General features: G+C 43.2%; 1 protein-coding gene across 10 annotated transcripts in view, besides 1 other annotated feature; it reads left to right on the plus strand.

Annotated features, from left to right (window-relative positions):
* Nucleotides 1-17,696, plus strand: part of GALNTL5 (polypeptide N-acetylgalactosaminyltransferase like 5) — a 63,484-nt gene that overhangs the window by 15,351 nt on the left and 30,437 nt on the right. For 6 of the 10 annotated variants that reach the window (XM_006715862.5, NM_145292.4, XM_047419933.1 and 3 more), the window contains 2 exons: nucleotides 11,190-11,356; nucleotides 15,363-15,485. In XM_006715862.5, the coding sequence (XP_006715925.1) occupies nucleotides 11,190-11,356; nucleotides 15,363-15,485 (290 nt within the window). Of the gene's footprint in view, nucleotides 1-7,155; nucleotides 7,231-11,044; nucleotides 11,357-13,956; nucleotides 14,203-15,362; nucleotides 15,486-17,696 lie in introns of those variants that run through there. The other 4 variants (XM_017011796.2, XM_011515853.3, NR_033169.2 and 1 more) reach the window with 4 other exon arrangements.
* Nucleotides 16,324-16,852: an enhancer, noted in NCBI's record as "H3K27ac-H3K4me1 hESC enhancer chr7:151685205-151685733 (GRCh37/hg19 assembly coordinates)". NCBI's record gives its function as "activates a minimal SCP1, AML or CMV promoter by ChIP-STARR-seq in primed H9 embryonic stem cells {active_cell/tissue: H9 hESC(primed)}" and the evidence as "EXISTENCE:reporter gene assay evidence [ECO:0000049][PMID:30033119]".

Here is a 17,696-nt window from a genome sequence, read left to right on the forward strand (position 1 = left end):
TTTAAAAGTAGCAGTTTCCCCTGCATTCTCTCTCTCTCTCTCTTCTGCCACCATGTAAGACATGCCTTGCTTTCCCTTCACCTTCTACCATGATTGTCAGTTTCCTGAGGCTTCCCAGCCATGTGGAACTGAGTCAATTACACCTCTTTTGTTTAGCAATTACCCAGTCTCAGGTAGAATCTTTATAGCAGTGTGAAAATGGATTAATACAGAAAATAGGTACCAGGAGTGGGGCACTGCTATAAAGATACCTAAAAATGTAGAAGCAACTTGGGAACTGGGTAACAGGCAGAGGTTGGAATAGTTTGGAGGTCTCAGAAGAAAAGAGGAAGATGTGGGAAAGTTTGGAATTTCCTAGAGACTTGTTGAATGGCTTTGGTAAAAATGCTGATAGTGATAAGGACAATGAAGTCCAGGCTGAGGTGGTCTCAGATGGAGATGAGGAACTTGTTGAGAAATGGAGTAAAGGTGACTCTTGTTATGCTTTAGCAAAGAGACTGGTGGCATTTTGCCCCTACCCTAGAGATCTATGGAACTTTGAACTTGAGGTTTGGAAAATTTGCAGGTGACTATGTGGTAGAAAAGAAAAACCCATTTTCTGGGGAGAAATTCAAGCCCAATCCAGCTGCAGAAATTTGCATAAGTAATGAGGAGCTGAATGTTAATAGCCAAGACAATGGGGAAAATGTCTCCAGGGCATTTCAGAGACCATGGCAACTCCTCCCATCACAGGCCCAGAGGCCTAGAAGGAAAAATGATTTTGTTGGCCAGGCCCAGGGCCCTGCTGTTCTGTGCAGCGTTGGGACAAGGTGCCCTGTGTCCCAGCCACTCCAGCTCCAGCCATGGCCAAAAGGGACCAAAGTACAACTAAGGCTGTGGTTTCAGAGGTTGCAAGCTCCAAGCCTTGGTGGCTTCCATGTGGTATTGGGCCTGTGGTGCACAGAAGACAAGAGTTGAGCTTTGGGAGCCTCCACCTAGAATTCAGAGGATATATGGAAACACCTGGATGTCCAGGCAGAAGCCTGCTGCGGGGGCAGAGCCCTCGTGGAGAACCTCTACTAGGGTAATGCAGAGGTGAAATGTGGGGATAGAGACACCAAACCTAGTCCCCACTGGGGCAATACCTAGTGGAGCTGTGAGAAGAGGACCACCTTCCTTCAGACCCCAGAATGGTAGATCCACCAACAGCTTGCACCATGCACTTGGAAAAGACACAGGCACTCAACACCAGCCCTTGAAAGCAGCTGCGGGGGATGTACCCTGCAGAGCCACAGAAGCAGAACTGCCCAAGGCCTTGGGAGCCCACCCCTTGCATCACTGTGACCTGGATGTGAGACTTGGAGTCAAAGGAGATCATTTCAGAACTTTAAGATTTAGGGGCCAGGCACTGTGGCTCAAGCCTATAATCCCAGCACTTTGGGAGGCTAAGGCAGGTGGATCACGAGGTCAGGAGTTCAAGACCAGCCTGGCCAGGATGGTGAAACCCCATCTCTACTAAAAATACAAAAAAAAAAAAAAATTAGCCAGGCATGGTGATGCGTGCCTATAGACCCAGCTACTTGGGAGGCTGAGGCAGGAGAATTGTTTCAACCCAGCCAGCAGAGGTTGCAGTAAGCCAAGTTCACACCACTGCACTCCAGCCTGGGTGACAGAGCAAGCTCCGTCTTACAAAAAAAAAAAAAGAAGATTTAATGTCTGCCCCGCTGGGTTTCAGACTTGCATGGGGCCTGTGGCCCCTTTGTTTTGGCCAATTGGCCAATTTCTCCCATTTGGAATGGGAATATTTACCCAATGCCTGTACCGCTATTGTATCTTGAAAATAACTAACTTGTTTTTTATTTTATAGGTTCATAGGAGGAAGGGACTTGTCTCAGATGAGACTTTGGACTTGGATTTTTGGGTTAATGCTGGAATGAGTTAATACTTCGGGTGACTGTTGGGAAGGCGTGATTGGTTTTGAAATGTGAAATGAGATTTGGGAGGGGCCAGGGGCAGAATGATATGGTTTGGCTGTGTGTCCCCACCCAAATCTCATGTTGAATTGTAATCCTCAGGTGTCGAGGGAGGGGCCAGGTGGGAGGTGATTGGATCATGGGAGTAGTTTCCCCCATGCTGTTCTCATGGTAGTGAGGGAGTTCTCATGAGACCTGATGGTTTTTAAAGTGGAAGTTTCCCCCGTGCTCGCTCTCTGTCCTGCTGCCGTGTAAAATGTACCTTGCTTCCCCTTCACCTTCTGCCATGATTATAAGTTTCCTGAGGCCTCCCCAACCATGTGGAACTGTGGTCAATTAAACCTCTTTTGTTTAGAAATTACCCAGTCTCAGGTGGTATCCTTATAGCAGTGTGAAAATGAAGTAATATAATACAGTACCCAATAAACAACAACTCTCCATTTCCCAACCCCAGCACTTCCTGGCAGTCATCATTCTACTTTGTGTGTCTATGAATTTCATTACTTTAAGTACCTCATATAAGTGGAATCATATAGTATTTGTCTTTTTTTGTGACTGGCTTATTTTGCTTAGCATGATGCCCTCAAGGTTCATCTATGTTGTAGTGTGTATGTGCTAATGCGTTTTTAGCATCTTTAAGTTCTGATGGTTTCCAGACAAAAAGGGCCAATATTCTCCTTTAACTAAATGAGAAGTACTTACATTAAGGATATCCATGAAACAGGAGAAAGCAGGGCCACTTTGCCTTGTTGCAACTTGTGTGCAACGCAAACATTTGAAGCCACAAATATCACTCATGATGTGGTACACTCAAGAGACGTGGAGTTTGTACATGATGACACAATGTATCTGGGTCATGATAAAATAAAAAACTTAAATTTACTCAAACCATAGAACATGGTATTAACATAGAGAACAATATTTCACTGAACTGAATATTTACTACAAAGGTCACCATTTTAACATATCTTTTAGGTTATGAATTTCTCTCTGTATCATCATTTGTTCTCCCTAAATCTCACCTTCTAAAATAGTATGATTGCTTTTGCTTCCCTTCCCCCATCACATGATTACTGTTCAGAAAAACAAAGTTTAGAGAGATTTGTCCAGAAAGAAAAGTGGACTTGGCAGTTTTAATATTTAAAATATAACTTATTTAATAGGAAATTCAATTCTGTACAAAGAGCCCACTACTATGTTTAAAAATTAACTTCTAAGAGCAACTACCACTATCTGGAGTCCAACCAGATTTTTAGCCATTATTGTAATAGCCATATTATTTCATTAAATGGAATTTTCATTTTAGCTTTCCCTTACTTTTTTTAAAAAATGTAATTTGGTCTCATAAAATGAGTTTGGAAGTGTTTCTTCCTCCTTAATTTTTTGGAAGAGTTTGAAAAGGATTGGTATTTATTCTTTAAATAAATTCAGTAGTGAACCCATTAGGTCCTGGAGTTTTCTTTGGTGAGAGATTTTTATTCCTGATTGAATGCCCTTACTCATTTTTAGTCTGTTCAGATTTTCAGTTTCTTCATGATTCAGTCTTGATAGGTTGTATGTTTCTGGGAATTTATTCATTTCTCCTAGGTTATCCAATTTGTTGGCATATAATTGTTCATAGTAGTCTTTTATGATTCTCTGTTTTTTCTGTGATATCAATTATGTCTCTTCTTTCACTTCTGGTCTTGTTTTTTTGAGTCTTCTTTTTTCTTAATTAGTCTAGCTAAAGGTTTGTCAAATTTGCTTATCCTTTTAAAAACCCAACTCTTTGTTTGGTTTGTCTTTTCTATTGTTTTCCTAATCTCTATTTCATTTATTTCTGCACTTATCTTTGTCATTTTCTTTCTTTTACTAAATTTGGGCTTAGTCTGCTGTCTTTTTCTTGTTCCTTCAGGTATAACATTAGGTTGTGTGTTTGGAAACTTTCTTCTGCTTTGATATAGGTGTTTATTCCTATAATTCCAAAACTTAGTACTGCTTTTGCTGCATCCCATATGTTTTGGTATTTTTTTTTATTTCCATTTGTCAAGATATTTTTAATTTTCATTTTAATGTCTTTTTAAAAATTTCTTCTTTGGCCCATTGGTTGGTTAGGAACATGTTGTTTAATTTCCATATATTTGTGAGTTTTCTGAAATTTGTCTCATTATTGATTTCTAGTTTCATACCATTGTGGTCAGAAAAGATACTTGATATGATTTCAATCTTAAATTGTTAAGACTTGTTCTGTGGCCTAATATTTGATCAATCCTGGAGGATATTCCATGTGCCTCAGAGAAGAAATATATGCTCTTCAGCTGTTGGATAAAATGCTCATGTGTGTCTGTTAGGTCCATTTGATCTAAAGTATAGTTGAAGCCCAGTATTTCCTTATTGATTTTCTGTCTGGATGATCTGTACATAGTTGTAAGTGGGGTATTGAAGTCCTCTACTTTTATTTTATTGCAGTCTATCACTCACTTCAGATTATTAATATTTGCTTTATATATTTAGGTTCTCTGACGTTGGGTGCAGATATATTTACAACATGTCTTCTTGATGTTATATCTTGGTATTATATTACCAACTGGCAATATAATATTGTTATATCTTCTTGATGAAAGGGGCCCCTTATCACTATAAAATGACCTGCTTTATCCATCTCTTTTTGCAATTTTTGACTTACTGTCTGTTTTACTTCAGTATAAGTATCCTCTGCTCTCTTTTGGTTTCCATTTGCATGAAATATCTTTTTCCATCTCATCACTTTTAATCCTTGTATATCCTTAAAGGGGAAGTGAGTTTCTTATAGGCAGCATCAGTTAGGTCTTGTTTTTTTAATCATGTTTTTCAAGTTGAGATTTATGTATGTATTTTCAGAAGTCTGCAAATTCTTAATGAGATTCTCCATGAGAATTCTAAAATTTCATCTTCCCACTTTTATATATATATATTTTTTGAGATGGAATCTCGCTCTGTCGCCTGGGCTGGAGTGTAGTGGCACGATCTCAGCTCACTGCAACCTTTGCCTCCAGGTTCAAGCAATTCTCCTGCCTCAGCCTCCTGAGTAGCTGGGATTACAGGCGTGCACCACCACACCCGGTTAATTTTTGTATTTTTAGTAGAGATGGGGTTTCACCATGTTGGTCAGGCTGGTCTCGAACTCCTGACCTCAGGTGATCCAACCACCTTGGCCTCCCAAAGTGCTGGGATTACAGGCATGAGCCACTGCACCTGGCCTATTATTTTTAATTAATATATATTTATACAGGAGGACAGCCTGTTACTATTGTCACCAAATTTCAGTAAGTAATGAGAAAAGTATTAGTAAACTTAATAGGTACATTATACAAATGATGTCAAACAGAGGCAGACCAAATACCTAAATTATATGTTATGACAAGTTACTTTACAATATGGCCAATAGAATTTTTTAAACCAATATTTCAAATACAAAAATAGGACTGAGAGATTTAAGCAAACACACACTACATAGTAGGAAAGTCTAGTCAAATTAAGAAATAAACTTTCCTATAACAAGTAGAAAATAAGTTATAAGTGGTGATGTCATTTCAACAAAACCCAACCTGAAATTAAAATTAATTTATTAATTTGATTTTAACCCTTCTAGCCATATTTTATTATTTTTAACTGTTTTGTTTATAGCTGGGTACGAACTTATGAGCACAAGGAGATTCTGAGCTCATAGGTTCACATATTTAAGAAACATTAAAGTAACAATTCATCTCTGGAGGTTAAGACCTTATTTTCTCTTCAAAAAAAGTCTATGTATGATTCAAGTTTTTAAAATTGTGATTTATGTTTTTCTTTTTTGTATTATCTTCATCAGATTTTGATATCAGACTTATACTAGCTTTATAAAATGAATTTGAAAGTTTTTGACTCTCTGAAATAATTGGGATAATATGATAATCACCTATTATGTTGAAATAGCACTTGCTTGGTAATTATGAATCACCAGTGCATTTTTTAGTGGTAGACATTGATAAACTTGCACATTACTCTAAAGTTATTGTTCTACTCAAGCTTTCTATTTCTAGGGGCTATTTAGGACACTGTTGTAATAAAACTTTATTCCACCTATTTCTCAAATTTATTGGCAAAAGTTGTGTATCTTATTTCCCTAATTACTATCATCTCCGCTAGTACCATACCTTCTTTCTCATTTTTTATTGTATGTTTTCCCACTCTCTTTTTAAGTTTGATGTGCATTGTTTTGTCTTTCAAAAAGCCAACTTTTGATTATACTTACTAATTTTACTTTTTTGTCTTCCAATTCATTAATTTCTAGTTATCTTTATTGGTTCATTTTTATTTCTTTTGGTTTATCCTGTTTTTCTTGCTAGTTTATAAGGTTAGTTTGATTATTTTACCGCTTTGTGGTATAATAATACATTTATAAATATTCATTTTATTCAGATTTAAATTTTAGCCATATCTCTTAGATTTAACATGATAGGCTTTCATTTTTAATTTCTATATAATTTACAATTTTTAACTTCCTCTGATCCAAAAATTATTTGGAGAAATCCATTTTTTTAATTGGATTTGAACAAATGAATAGCCATTTACAAATTAGCTTAGCAGTCATCTATCACCATCTTTTTCTAATGTGCTTAAAAGATTGTCGTTGTAAGAGTGCCTGTGCCTGGTGGACTATTTCCACTCAAAATACAGCCTGAAAACCAACAGCACTGACAGCCCCTGGGAGCTTGCTAGCCATGCAGAATCTCAGGCCCCTACCCAAATCTCCTTAATCAGAATCTGCAGTCAGCAAGAACCCCAGTTGAGACTGATGCATGGTAAAATTTGGTATCCAAATATTGGTTTGGTAGGGCTGCTATAAGAAAGTACCATCAGCTGGGTAGCTTAGACAACAAAAATTATTCTCTCTCAGTTTTGGAGGCCAGAAATCTGAAATCAAGTTGTTGGCAGGATTGCTCGCCTCTGAGAGCTGTAAAGAAATTAGGCTCTGTTCCAGACGTCTCTCCTTGGCTTATAGATGGCCGTCTTCTCCCTATAACTCTTAACGTCATCTTCCCTTTGTATATGTCTGTCTCTGGGTTCAAATTTCCCCTTTTTGTAAGAACATGAGTCATATTGGATTAGGGCCTACCCTAATGAGCTCACCTTACTAATTATCTCTACAACAGCTCTTTTTCCAAATAGGATCACATTCTGAGGTCCTGGGGACTAGAACTTCACTATATGAATTTTGGAAGACACAATTCAGCCTAAAAGAGTCCTGCTTTGTACTGAACTATTATTAATGTATAAGGTCAGCAATGTGTAAGGTTAGCAAATTTATATGATCAGCTAATTGAGGACAACCAAAGGCCATCCAAATTACTTTTACTCTTTTTTTTTTTTTTTTTTTTGGAGATGGAGTCTCACTCTGTCACCCAGGCTGGAGTGCAGTGGTGCCATCTCGGCTCACTGCAAGCTCCACCTCCCGGGTTCACGCCATTCTCCTTCCTCAGCCTCCCAAGTAGCTGGGACCACAGGTGCCCGCCACCACGCCCAGCTAATTTTTTTTTTTTTTTTGTAAGTAGAGACGGGGTTTCACCATGTTAGCCAGGATGGTCTTGATCTCCTGACCTCGTGATCTGCCTGCCTCAGCCTCCCAAAGTGCTGGGATTACAGGTGTGAGCCACCACGGCCGGCCTCCTTTTACTCTTAAAAACAGCTTTCTTAGGTCCCAGCAAGGATTTTTTTTGGTGGGGGGAGGGGGGCAGAGTTTTGCTCTTGTTGCCCAAGGTAGAGTGCAATGGCAGGATCTTGGCTCACTGCAACCTCCACCTCCCGGGTTCAAGAGATTCTCCTGCCTCAGCCTCCCAAGTGGCTGGGATTACAGGCACCCGCCACCACGGCTAATTTTTTGGATTTTTAGTAGAAATGGGGTTTCACCATGTTAGCCAGGCTGGTCTTGAACTCCTGACCTCTGGTGATCCGCCCACCTTGGCCTCCCAAAGTGCTGGGATTACAGGCATGAGCCACTGCACCTGGCCAGGAAAGTTTTTATAGACATACCACAGCAACATTTGTTGATCTATTTTTGAGAAACCCACACACACCAGGTTCTCTTGGGGGTCTAAAGAGTCCTCATGTGAGTTTCAGGCTCCTCCACCAACATCAAACTGAAGGGACGCAGTTTATTTCCAGTTTTCTTAAAGTGATACACCCAGGACTGACTATAACATCAGAGATGTGATTTTAGCAGCAGAAGTCATCCTGGACCACCACTTCTCTTATTCATGGTATTGGCCTTCCGTTAATTCAGTCTAGTATCATATTTTCTCTTTCTCTCCTACTTTCTGTCTCTCAACTCAATGATCTTACTGGAATATTTTTTTGAGACAGAGTCTCAATCTGTTGCCCAGGCTGGAGTGCAGTGGCGCCATCTTGGCTCACTGCAACCTCCGCCTTCTGGGTTCAAGTGATTCTCCTGCCTCAGCCTCCTGAGAAGCTGGGATTACAGTCATGCACCACCACGCCCAGCTAATTTTTGTATTTTTAATAGAGAAGGGGTTTTGCCATGTTGGCCAGGCTGCTCTCAAACCCCTAACCTCAGGTGATCTGCCCGCCTTGGCCTCCCAAAGTGCTAGGATGACAGGCGTGAGCCATTTAAGCCTTTTAATTATTTTTCCACATGTTTCTGCACAGCCGCGTTTTCCCACTCACCGTTACAGACCCAAGTGCAGACGGTGCAGGTGCCCTCATTCCCATCTGTTCCGGTGCTTCCTTGGCCCTGTCCCTCGGACTCTCCATTCCCTTGAGTCTGATGTCAGTTCCACTCAGTGGGCATGACTTCTCTGTCTTCATCTTGTCTTGGATAAAAAGGAAGACGAGGACAAGGCCCTCTCCTTCCCTGGTGACTTCATTTTGTGAGTACCCTGAGGGGACTGTCCAGGATGCCCATAGGATTGCCTGCCCAGCACTCCTTTCCCACTGTTTTTCCCCTTTCCGTGTGATTGCAGTGCTAACAATGATTTTTTTTTTTTTTTTTTTTTTTTTTGAGATGGAGTCTCGCTCTGTCGCCCAGGCTGGAGTGCAGTGGCGGGATCTCGGCTCACTGCAAGCTCCGCCTCCTGGGTTCACGCCATTCTCCTGCCTCAGCCTCCCAAGTAGCTGGGACTACAGGCACCCGCCACTGCGCCCGGCTAAATTTTTGTATTTTTAGTAGAGACGGGGTTTCACCGTGTTAGCCAGGATGGTCTCGATCTCCTGACCTCGTGATCCGCCCTCCTCAGCCTCCCAAAGTGCTGGGATTACAGGCTTGAGCCACCGCGCCCGGCCACAATGATTTTTTTATTTCAACTCAATTTTCTGGCCCCAGTTGATTAACCCAGGGATGGGGCACCTATGGCAAGCTGGGCCAGTGAATCTTTTCCAGTCAATATTTGATCTTGGAAAAGGTAAAGTCCCACCAGTTTCTCCTTGGGTCCTTGCCTATAAGAAATGCTGATGTCAATCACATTTCCCACTAAAGAAGTGGAAAAAGCCCAGGTGCAGAGGAAGAATCATAATCATGTAATGCGCCTTCTATCTGAATACTTACTGCGTGCCAGGCACTGCTCTAAGTGTTGTAGGCATGTTAATTCATTGCATCTTCACAGCCCTTGGAGGTAGGTTGATATCGCTATTATTATTTTTCCCAAATGTAAACACAAAAGCAGAGATAGAGAGTGTCCAGACATCATTCAAGCCTCTAGTTCTAATCATTCCTTGAGGCTCCAGCTGCTGCAGCTTCTAGGTCCTGTGAGACATTTGAGTCAGCTCACAATACATCTCTCTTCCCTTCCTTCCTTCCTTCCTTCCTTCCTTCCTTCCTTCCTTCCTTCCCTCCTTCCTTCCTTCCCTCCTTCCTTCCTTCCTTCCTTCCTCCCTTTCTCTCTCTCTCTCTCCCTCCCTCCCTCCCCCTCTTCTTTCTTTCTTTTTTTTTTTTTTTTGGATGCAGTGGTATGGTCTTGGCTCACTACAACTTCTCTCTCCCAGGTTCAAAATATTCTCTGCCTTAGCCTCCTAAGTAGCTGGAACTACGAGTGCGTGCCACCACATCTGGCTAATTTTTGTATTTTTAGTAAAGACAGAATTTTGCCATGTTGTCCAGGCTGGTCTCGAACTCCTGACCTCATGTGATTCACCCACCTCAGCCTCCCAAAGTGCCAGGATTACAGACATGAGCCACTGTGCCAGCCACAGCTCCTTTTCTTTTGCTAAAGTTAGCTCCAGCAGATTTCTTTAATTTACAACCAAAATATTTCAGTATACAACTAAATAATATATCTAAATAATAATTAATAACTAATATTACTAGAATTCCAGAATTCAGCTTCTATATTTCCCTCATATGCACACACACAAAAAAATAAAGTATTCTGGGGCCAGGGACATTGGCTCATGCCTGTAATCCCAACACTTTGGGAGGCTGAGGCAGGTGGATCACCTGAGGTCGGGAGCTCAAGACCAGCCTGGCCAACATGGTGAAACACTGTCTCTACTAAAAACATAAAAAATTAGCCAGGCATGGTGGTGCATGCCTGTAATCCCAGCTACTCGGGAGGCTGAGGCAGGAGAATCGCTTGAACCCAGGAGGCAGAGGTTGCAGTGAGCCAAGATGACACCATTACACTCCAGCCTGGGCAACAAGAGTGAAACTCCATCTCAAAAAGAATGAATAAATAAAAATGAAATAAAGCATTTTTGTCAAATATTCAGAAGAAATCCAATTAGACCATATCTGCTATACTTTTTTGTTGCGACAGACTCCACAAATATAAGAATAAAGTTGGAGTTTTCTCTGAAGACAGCACAATAAAGTTAATGTACACTTTTTAATGTGTGAGCTTAATAATTCATTTTTATCTGTCCTGCCATGGTGACAGCAAAAAAAAAAAAAGATAAAACTAATTCATTTTTATAACAGAAGCTAATACATGAATATAATTTGTGTTTATACTATGTTTAAAATAGAACTGAGATTATCAACACAGTCTCAGGAAAGAGCAATTATTACTGACATTAAGAAGGGGGAAATTATTCAGAAAATATTAGAACAACATAAGAAGTTAAATAAATTTTTGTGTTTTTAGATGTACTGTCACCTTATTACCATAATTATCAGTTGAAGGAGTAAAGAGTCAAAAAGATGCAAATAAGGAGAAGTGTTTGAACGAGATGACACAACATCCAAGGCATTTAGATGGATGGTTTTCTTCATATTGCTTCTGCCTGCAGGTGTCTTCAAAAACATTACCCAGCCCGCCTCCCGACTGCCAGCATTGTCATTTGCTTCTATAATGAAGAATGTAATGCCTTGTTTCAGACCATGTCCAGTGTCACGAACCTCACGCCACACTATTTTCTTGAAGAAATTATTTTGGTAGATGACATGAGCAAAGTTGGTAAGATAGAACACTCATTATCTCATCTACTTTGTTGTTGTTGTTGTTGAGATTTCCCTCTGTCACCCAGGCTGGAGTGCAGTGGTACCATCTCGGCTCACTGCAACCTCTGCCTCCTGAGTTCAAGCGATTCTCCTGCCTCAGCCTCCCGTGCAGCTGGGATTACAGGTGCATGCCACCACGCCCGGCTAATTTTTGTATTTTTAGTAGAGACGGGGTTTCACCATGTTGGTCAGGCTGGTCTCGAACTCCTGATCTCAAGTGATCTGTCCGCCTCAGCCTCCCAAAGTGCTGGAATTACAGGTGTGAGCCACGACGCCTGACCATCTAATCTACTCTGAAGGTAGTGCGCTCCCCGATGGCACTTGAGTATTTTGTACAAAAAAATCTTTTTGGTGGGTATTGGGGCAGGCACTGCACTAGGGGCTCTTGGTATATGGTGGACATGTGAGACCTGGGCCCTGTACTTGGGCCCATGGCAGAGGGGTGGAGGGGCGGTGCTTCCATAAGGCAAACATAGGGGCACCGGCCACATCCTTGGAGATAACTTCAGGAAGAAGTGACATGTCAACTGAGGTCTGAATGATGAGTTGTAATGATCTAGGTGGAGAGGAAGGAAAAAGTGTTTTTGGTAGCTTAAGCAGCATCGTAAAGGCCCAGAGGTAAGAGAAGCCATAGAGAGCTTGAAATACATGCTACCATATTTTATGTAGTCTATGCATGAGTATAGAGTTGCAGGGGGGAGGTGGGCAAAACCAGAGTTATTAAAAGGGAACTCCCAGCCCAGCCTGGTGGCTCACACCTGCAATCCCAGCACTTTGGGAGGCCAAGGTGGGCAGATCCCTCGAGCTCAGGAGCTCCAGAGCAGCCTGGGCAACATGGCAAAACCCCATCACTTAAAAAAAGCAGGGCACGGGGGGTAACTGCTCATAAAGCGCATTATTTGAATTTTATCTTGAAGCTATGAGGAGCTATTAAGGGCTTAATGCAGGAAAATGAGATGATCTAGGAATTCCATGAAAGAAGCGGAATCAGACCAACTGCAGTTAAGTGTGTATTCTTTCATGCTTACTGGTTTTAAAGAATTGTGATACTAGCACTAGTTAACTACACTTAGAATTGGAAATTACTCACCTAATTTACAATGGAGTACAAACCTTAGGCAAGCCAGGAGTACCAAAGCAATGATGTCAATATTAAGTAAGTTTCAGGCTGAAAGTCAACCCAATCCACTCTAAATGTGACCCACTATGAGCTCAGAAACAAAAAGATGAGGAGAAGCAGTAGGAAGAACAGGCAGAGGAAGAAACCATCCCATGAGGTTCACCCTGCGGGGAAGTGACTCTAGGTGACTCCTGAATGTGACTCAAGTCACTGGCAGTTGTGTGGTGGAAATGTAGATGTTGGCCAGGCACCTATCGTAAATAACACTGTTTCTAAGGGGGTCACCAATGTCTGAGGGCACAGGACTGTCTATTTCTAGCCTTGTGCATGGGAAGAGTGTGGAGTGAGGGCCTGGCTTCCCTGCTGCCCCTGTGACCCACGCTGCCTCTTCTGCTCAAAAGACTGAGCAGCATGTTTGGTGACTTGCTGGGCAAGAAGTCACTGGGAAAGCCACCAGCAGGGGACAGGGTGGGATAACCTGATGGATTGTGGAATTCTAACTTCTCACCCAGAAGTACAAGAATGCTGCCATGGAGACACAGTGCCAGGAATGACCAGGGGACGGATACCTCCCCCAGCCTTTCAGAACCACACCATGAATTTGGAGACGTAACTGGTGTCTTATCAGCTTGGCTGCTGTAACAAAATGCCACAAACTGGGTGGCTTAAACAACAAACATTTATTTCTTAGAGTCCTGGAGGTTGGAAGTCCGAGATGAGGGTGCCAGCAGGATCGAGTTCTTAGAGTGGGCCCTCTTCCTGGGTGATAGACAGCCATCTTTTTGCTATGTCCTCATGTTGTGGAAAGAGAGCAAGCTAGCTCCATCACCCAGTTATGCCTCTGCAAGGCCCCACCTGCAAATACCATCATACTGAGGGGTACTTTGAATTTTGGTGGGGACACAAACATACCGGCCGTAAGATCTGTCAACGTTCTCATACATTCATCACACATTGTGGTCCCCTTTATGAGAGACTAGGGGGTCGCTGCTGCCAACATGTGGGTGTGCTTCCCAACCAGACACCTCTGCTTCTCCTCCTCTATCTGAGCCTTTGACCCACACAGAGCCTTAAACACAGGACTAGGGTGTTCTAGGCTCTGATGGAGCTCAGGTTGACACCTTCCTCCTTTAATTCACGGTGACTTCATCATGGGTTTAAGGACAATTTCTTCAACAAAACCCTGTCTGTCCCAGCTGACACCTATAGGTATGGCCGATAGACTCCTCAGCTTGGGGGAGCAGGGCCAGGGGCCCAGGGAACTGCTCCCACTGAGCTACACAAATGGCCTGTCCATGACCTGCTGCCATCCACTTTTCCCATAGTCCTGGTCCCTCTAGACTGCAAGCCAACAACATGACCATCTTCTGAAAAACCCACACCCTCCACTTCATGTCAGTGACTGCTGCTGCCTTAACTGCCTTTATCTCCTCCAGGGCCTGGCTCATGGCGTCCCACTTTTCCCTCCTCTTGCTGCCTCCTACATCCTGGATGTGAGTGAGGTGTCTGGAGATCTTTGAGCTGAGATGCTGCCCAGGCCTGCAAGTGCAGCTATGCAGCCTGTATCCCTGCCTCTTTCTAAAAACAAGGAAGAAGATCCCTCCTTCTGCTGGGATTACCATGAACCTGTTCCTGTTCAACCTGCCCCTGACCCAGATTGCTGGGACTTAGGAATTTAGACCTCTGAGGTACCTGCATCCATCTCACCTGGTCCCAGCCTCCTTTATCATCATTGTATTAACTTCCAAATATTAAGTGACTATTGGGTGCCAGGCTCTGTGCTGGGTGATATATTTCTTCTTCCTCATACCAGAGTACTGCCGGGAACATGATGGTCATCCCTTCTCTCAGCTGAGGAAACTAAGACTCTCGTGGTTCGATAACTTTCCCAAGAGCTACTGAAAAATTAGAAGCACAGATAGTAGCAAACCCAGATTGCGCCAAAGCTCTATAATGCATGGTTTTTCTATTAAAATGTTAATAGTGATTTACTAAAATAGAGTTATTTCACTAGAACCATAGAATAATATTTACAGGGCGAGGCGTGGTGGCTCACGCCTATAATCCCAGAACTTTGGGAGACCAAGATGGGAGGATCCCTTGAGGCCAGGAGTGCAAGACCAGCCTGGGCAATGTAGCAAGACCCTATTGCTACAAAATATTTAAAAATTAGCCAGGTGTTGTGGTGCATACCTGTAGTCCCAGCTACTCAGGACATTGAGGCACGAGGATTGCTTGATCCTGGGAGGTCAAGGCTGCAGTGAGCTATGATCATGCCACTGCACTCCAACGTTGGTAACAGAATGAGGCCCTGTCTCAACAAAAACGAAACAAAAAGAAAAATATTTACAGTTGATTTTGATAATGAATCACTTGTGTTTCTCTCCCTTAAATGGGATAAAAATTCTATCTTTTTTTTTTTTTTTTTGAGATAGGGTTTTGCTCTTGTTGCCCAGGCTAGAGTGCAATGGGGCCATCTCGGCTCACTGCAACCTCTGCCTCCCGGGTTCAAGCGATTCTTTTGCCTCAGCCCCGAGTACCTGGGATTACAGGCGCCCACCACTATGCCCGGCTAATTTTTGTATTTTTAGTAGAGAGGGGGTTTTCACCATGTTGGCCAGGCTGGTCTCGAACTCCTGACCTCAAGTGATCTGCCTGCCTCGGCCTCCCAAAGTGCTGGGATTACAGGCATGAGACACCACACCTGGCCCCAAAATTCTCTTTTAAAGTTAGAACTTCTGTGGAATAGCATGGATTTTAGGAATACGTCATAATGATGATACACTGTTTCAATTTCTATAGTTGCCGTTTATACATTCTCATGTGTTGAATATTTTTCCAGATGATTTGAAAGAAAAACTAGACTATCACCTGGAAACTTTTCGGGGAAAGGTTAAAATAATAAGAAACAAAAAGAGAGAGGGGCTGATTCGAGCAAGGCTGATTGGAGCTTCTCATGCTTCAGGTAGGAACATTCCTGGGGACAAGAGCCAGTGACGGCGTCACAGAGATCTTCCCTTCTGAGCGGGACTCCTCTGCAGGGAGACCTTCTATGTCTGTGTCTGCTTCATCAGAAGAGTGGAAATCTATTCCAGCCATATGAGCCTTTAATCTTCTTTTGCCTCTGAAAGTGTTCTGCTTTGAAATGTCAATTTGCTATTTTGGGTTGAAGATATTCTTTCGCAGGGACGTTAATGTCAGCCCCTCTCACAGGCTGAGTTCCCCAGTACAAACTCTGAAATGGAGTTTCAACCACAGGGGACCCACTGGGAGCCACAAGAGTGAGGAGAGCAAGACTGGGGGTGGGGTGGGCGGGAGGGAGCTGCAGCGCTCATCCACGGGGACCTCTGAAGCCAGGACCCCACAATGAAATAAGAGAAAGAGTTTATGGGGCAAGAGATAGGAGAACAGAAGAAAAAGTGTGAGCTGATGCTTCTGACCCGACACACGTGGAGGAGGACAGAGAAGGAAGGAAGTTTATCTTGAAGCGCTTCAGACAAGGTGCAGGTCTCAGAAAGGCTCAGTGGGCTAGGGGGAGCCCCATTGCAAAGGCTGCCCGTTAGGGAGACCTGCAATGGGACCGGGTGGCGCATCTCCACTTCCTCCCAACCACCACCCTCACACTGTGCTTGGTCATTGGGTGGCAGCACCCTGGGAACGGCATGACCTTGACATGAGCTTCAGTAGATCCGAAAACTTTGGCAGTGGGAAGCACTCAAATCCGTCCCCTGCAGCAGGTTCTTGTGAAGGGACATCCGAGCAGCACACTCCCAGGGCTGCCCCAAGAGCCATTCAGAGGGATCCCAGTTCCAGGTAAGGGGACCAGGCATGGACCAGTCATTGGATATGAACACTGCCCTCCCCTGGGGGCAGGTATGACCTTGGTAGCCATGGCTGGCCAAGGGCAGTTTCTGGGGAGGGACTTTGTTGTGAACCATTGGCTGTCAACGCTGCTGGGCGGCTGAGTCCCAGGAGCATCTGAGCAGCTTGATAGAGAGCCCAGGCCTCCTACGATCACGCCTCCTGCCGCATGTAGGGGAATGTTGGCAGAACGCTGAGCTGGAACCACGGGAGGCGAATCATTTGTAAGGGCATTCCTCAGGCTGCATTGCAAGCTGATGAAATGTCCCTGCTCCTTAGCAGGAAACACCTCCTTAAGGAATGGAAGGACAAAAGAAAAAAAACAAAATTGGACTCTCTTTTTCCATGTTGCCCTGGTCGGTGGACACATTCTCTTATTTAACTGCAAAGATAATACATGTTCATTGTCCAAAACCCAAGAGAAACCAAACACAATATGGAGAGCATCTTTTCAGACCCGCGTTTTTATGCATTTATAGATATATACATATATATGCACGTGTGTATACACAGGGTTAAGGATTTTTATTTATTTTACTTTTTTTTTTTTTTGAGACAGTTTCCCTCTGTCACCCAGGCTGGAGTGCAATGGCACAATCTGTAACCTCCTCCCACTGGGCTCAAGCAATTCTCCTGCCTCAGCCTCTCAAGTAGCTGGGATTACAGGTGCCCGCCACCATGCCGGCTAATTTTTGTACTTCTAGTAGAGACGGGGTTTTGCCATGTTGGCCAGGCTGCTCTTTAACTCCTGGCCTCAAGTGATCTGCCCACCTCGGCTTCCCACAGTGCTGAGATTACTGTCGTGAGCCACCACGACTGGCCTGGGATTTTTAAATACATGGAATCATACTGTCTGTACTGTCCTGAGACTTACTCGTTTATTTTTAATTTTTGGAACTTTTCCCATGACAGTACTTAAGAGTTACTTCAGTTTTGAATTGCTGTGTTGTATGATATTTCATATGGATTTTATTTTTTCTCTTTTTTTTTTTTAGACAGTCTCGCTCTGTCACCCAGGATGGAGTGCAGTGGTGTGATCTCAGCTCACTGCAACCTCCATCTCCCAGGTTTAAGTGATTCTCCTGCCTCAGCCTCCCCCAAGAGCTGGGATTATAGGTGGGCGCCACCACACCCAGCTAATTTTTTTGTATTTTTAGTAGAGACGGGGTTTCGCCATGTTGGCCAAACTGGTCTCTAACTCCTGACCTCAAATGATCCGCCCACCTCGGCCTCCCAAAGTGTTGAGATTACAAGTGTGAGCCACTGTGCTCAGCCCATATGGATTTTATAATTGATTTTCATAACTTGTTTAGCC

This window comes from Homo sapiens, chromosome 7 (assembly GCF_000001405.40).
Source record: "Homo sapiens chromosome 7, GRCh38.p14 Primary Assembly".
Taxonomy (NCBI): domain Eukaryota; kingdom Metazoa; phylum Chordata; class Mammalia; order Primates; family Hominidae; genus Homo; species Homo sapiens.